A 4607-nucleotide genomic window follows, 5' to 3' on the forward strand; every position below is an offset into this window, starting at 1 on the left:
TCATCATTCTCATCATTACCATCAGCATGATAACATGATCACCATGATAAAACGATCACCATGAGCATCACCATCCTGATCACTGTCATCACCATCCTCATCACCATCATCCTCACCATCATTACCACCATCACCACCACCACCATCATCACCATCATCCTCATCATCATTACCACCATCACCATCTTCATCACCATCATCATTACCACCATCACCACCACCATTATCACCATTCCTACCATCATCCTCCTCCTCCTCATCGTCATCATCAAGGTCACGAGCATTTTGGGATGTTTAGATGGAGCTAAGATTCAAGGTGACTAGTGGTTGTTCTGAAGGTGATACACTGTCTCTCACTCAGTGAACATAGAAATTGTATTATATACTGCCTATTTTGGCTTTCATCTTGACAACACCCCTTTGCATCTAATTCCCCAACACTGCTCTTTTGACTACTTGCAGACGGTTTAGAAAATGATTATAGAGAGGAGGTATTGCTTTTATCATTTATTGGAGTGATTCTGTAACGAAGATGCAACATGTGGGTGGTAAAATACAGTGAAGGAAACAGACAAATAGACTCCTTGTTTTGACCACATCCTGTTGCCCCTTTGTGATGTGTCCCTGTTTGTTGAAATCAGGTGCTGAGTATCCAGTGAATTTCATGCACATGAGCAGAAAAGGCAGCAAACAGAGAGAGAGAGCAAACTTTCTCAGGGCACCGGGTTCTCACTTCCTCACACTGAAGTCTAGAATAAAAGCATTTTTAAGGAACACTAAAAATATCTCCATACAGTCATGGAGTAAAATCAAAGTCTTGAGCACTATCTACATTAGAGTTCCCCAAATTCTTATGATGACCATTAATTTATTGTCTAAATAGGGACCCATTTGAAAATGAAAGGACGCACTAGAACCAATTAGTAGACGTTAATTAATTCACAACTAGCCTCCATTAAACTGTCCTAGCACAACTAGGATGTATAGTCAGCCTACAAACACAGACCTTCAGTTCAGCAGATCTAGAACAAATTTGCACCAAACAATAAATGAGAAAAATGACAATGTAAATATGTACAAATGTGTTGTAAGACTGTTAACTGCCCTTTCCTGGGGCAATCTATTCTTTATCTATCATTGTGTTCTTTCCACTTTTTTGTGTTAAAATGTTCTTTTTAAAATAAATTAAGTGGTCATGGGGGTAGATGATAGGGTTTCATCATTTTTGTTAATCTGTTTGCTTGTTATTTTTTGATTACTTAATTGGCACATAAAATCTGATGAACCTATGTCAATCCACCCATATTCATTTTTAGTTTCCTGGTCTCTGTAATCCTCAAATCTGGGACTACTTATCTGGACCTTTCCAGCTCACTGGGAAAGGATCATTTGCTCCATGAGTGAGGACATCCCTACTTGAGTCTCAGCCTGTCTGCTGCCCCACATTCATGTCCATTCTCAGAACCACCTATTCTTCCAATTGTGCTAAATTATTTTTTCTCAAATATTTTTATTACTATTTTTTAACCTTGATCTTCCTCCCCATGAAAACATGAAAAGGCAGCTTCCTCTCTTCCATCAACCCATCCCCAGACATCCCCCACCGCAAGCAATGGCAGCTCCTCCATCATCACAGATACTGGAATTTGTCTCAGAACCATCTGGCATGCATCACTATGCAAACGACGTCCTCACCGGAGGGAGCCCAAAGGGAGATTGCTATCTCAAGCCCCCATGTAGGGTGGTTGTTATTTTTAAAGGCAGCTCATTCAGCCACTGCAGGGAACTAATTTCTTTTCAACACTGCCACAGCACCCATCCTGAAGTTAGGGAAGCTGGACAGAGATGGAGGAGGTGGGGGTGGGGGAACTATTATTAGCATGATTTCTAGGATCAAAGTCCTTTATGACCTAAAAGATCTAGGCTGTTAAATTATAAATCAGGGTTTAATTAGAGTCTTGTCCATCAACTTTTATCCCTGCTTCAGTTTGGGCAAATGGCTCTTGCTTTGGCAGGTCGTTTCTTAAGTGTTTCGGAGATTATAAGCTCCGGTATTCATGTCAAACAGAGGAGCAGATGTGCGGTGGTTTTCCACCCCTAAAGAGTGGAAAGTGGAGATGCGTTTCATTTGCTTTAGCAAAAATAACTGCAGATATGAAAGTTTAAAAGTCTCGAGGCATCTACACCTTGCTCATTCTGGGGCAAAGATGAAGCCACAACTGAAGCCTGCTAGGAAGCAGAGGTTAAAGAGCCTGAGATTTTTGCTCACCACTGAACTCGGAATTCTGACTCTGATAACCCTGGACAACTTATTTAGCTTCTCTAAGCTTCATTTCCCCTCAGTTCTGTGATAAAGATAGTGATAGTAGCTACTCATGGAGTTGTAAAGAATATTATTTTATAGAACTACTATTTATTGGGCACCTGGTATATGACAGGCACCGGGTTAAGCTTTGGGAGTCCTATTGTCAATAAAACAAAGAAAATCTTTTGTGGAGCTTAAATTCTGGACAGGAGAGAGAGGGAGAAACAACAGACCAATAAAGAAATAAACATGATATAATGAAGAAAAATGAGTAGTGTGTAGGGAGAAAAATAAGAAGGAGGTACTGAGATACTAAGTGAGCAAATGTATGTTGAGAAGTTAGCACAGTGCCTAGCAGATAAAAGGGGTCAAATAAAATTAGTGATGATGATGATGATGATGATGATGATAGAGATGGTGGTGAAGGTGATGATTGATGGTGATGGGGTAATGATGATGATGGTGGTGATAATGGTAGTGACAATGATGATGGTGATGGTGGTGATGATGATGATGATAGTGATGATGGTGATGGTGGCAATGGTGATGATGGTGATAATAGAGATAACGATGGAACGTGATGATGGTGATGGTGGTAATGGTGATGATGGTGATGATGATACTGGTGGTGATGATGATGCTGGTGGTGATGATGATGATGGTAGTGATGATGATGATGGTGGTGATATTGGTGATGATAATGATGATGAAGATGACAATGATGATAGGGAGGTCAGTGATGATAATGGTTATTCCTAAAACTTTCTGGCTACACCAGATCTCTTTTCTTTATTTTCATTCTTGGAAACAACTCTTCAATAACTGATTGGAGTGAAGGGATATCAAAGCTATGCCCACTTTTTCTGTTTTCAAGTTGAACTCTTTGCCTTAGATTCGGCCAAAGGTTTTGGAGTAAGTGTTCAACTAGACATTTATTAAAAAGCAACATACACACACAGCCTAAGAAAGCATTCAAGCTAGGAAAGAAAAGGGGTTCTTTGTGTTTTACTACTTGGCAATAAGTTTGTATTAAATCAGAACAAGACAGATTCTGTGTAGATAGGAGCTCTTGGAACCAGCTTTTCTAACTGCCCCGAGCTGCACATGGCTGAGTGCCTTTCAACCACACCTGTGCCTTTTATTAAATTCAGGAAGGAAAACTCTTGGACCACCTTGTTCCATTACTAATTTAGTACTGCAAAGCAAAACAGCAAAGAGGAATGAATTTATCTCGGGCCCTCAGCCCCTTTATAATTTTGGGGTCATCCATTAGCAAGAAAATGATGGTCATTTCCCTATGTCCCCACAACAGTGGAGGAATGTCTCCATTCCTAGGGTGCCTCTGGCTTCATCCCAAATATGAAGCCATCATGTTCATCTAGTTTGGGACAAAAATCCCTATGTATTCACCATTGAGGCAGGGGCCAAGCTAAGCCAGAGAATTAATCATTCTCACCCATTCCTCCCTCGCTGTGATGAGTGATGGGGAGGAGACAAAAGGAGATGAAAAGCACTAAGGGAGTCCCAAATCTTGCTGCTTATGTCCCTCCAGACACAGTAAGAGTGAAAGCATTTGGCTAAATTAAGGACCATACAAAGTATGTAGTTAATTAATATTACACTACCAGAAAGGATAAAAAAAAAAGTTTTATTATTTGAGGATTTTGGGTTGCAATGAAAACATTTCTAACTTAAGAAAAAAGGAATTCATGAATTGTTCTGGGATAGCTCATGGGCTTGGAAGCAGAATTCCAGAACCAGATCTCAGAAAGGATGGAAACTGGGACAGCTTGGGGGCCTCCAGAGACCACTGTCAGAATGAGTGAACACCAACTCTTTCTAGCTTTGGGGTCAATTAACACCAGATTCAAATTCCAGGGAGAGCAGAGTTTGTCAGGCTGGCCCCACTTGGGTGACATGCCCAGTCCTTGGCCTCGGGGGATGCCTCAGTTCGTCTGTGCTGCTTTAACAATGTACCAAGGTCTGAGGGGCTTAGAGAACAGATATTTATTTCTCACAGTTTTGGAGGCTGGCAATCCAAGATCAAGGTGCCGGCAGGGAGGGTTTCTTCTAAGGCCATCTGCTTGCTGTGTCCTCACAGTCTTTCCTTAGTGTGTGTCTATGTCCTAATCTCCACTTCTTTTAAGGACACCAGTCCTATTGGATTGGGGTCCCACCCCTGTGACCTCATTTAACCTTAATTGCATCCTTAGAGACATTATCTCCAAATACAGCCCATTAAGTTTAGAGTATCAGTATTTGAATTTAAATGCAGGGGCGGTACAATTCGGTTCATAACAGG

General features: G+C 41.0%; 1 annotated feature.

Moving 5' to 3' along the window:
• Window positions 1338–2277: an enhancer, noted in NCBI's record as "OCT4-NANOG hESC enhancer chr16:86834327-86835266 (GRCh37/hg19 assembly coordinates)". NCBI's record gives its function as "activates a minimal SCP1, AML or CMV promoter by ChIP-STARR-seq in naive and primed H9 embryonic stem cells {active_cell/tissue: H9 hESC(naive and primed)}" and the evidence as "EXISTENCE:reporter gene assay evidence [ECO:0000049][PMID:30033119]".

The sequence above is a fragment of the Homo sapiens genome, chromosome 16, assembly GCF_000001405.40.
Source record: "Homo sapiens chromosome 16, GRCh38.p14 Primary Assembly".
In the NCBI taxonomy this organism is placed as follows: domain Eukaryota; kingdom Metazoa; phylum Chordata; class Mammalia; order Primates; family Hominidae; genus Homo; species Homo sapiens.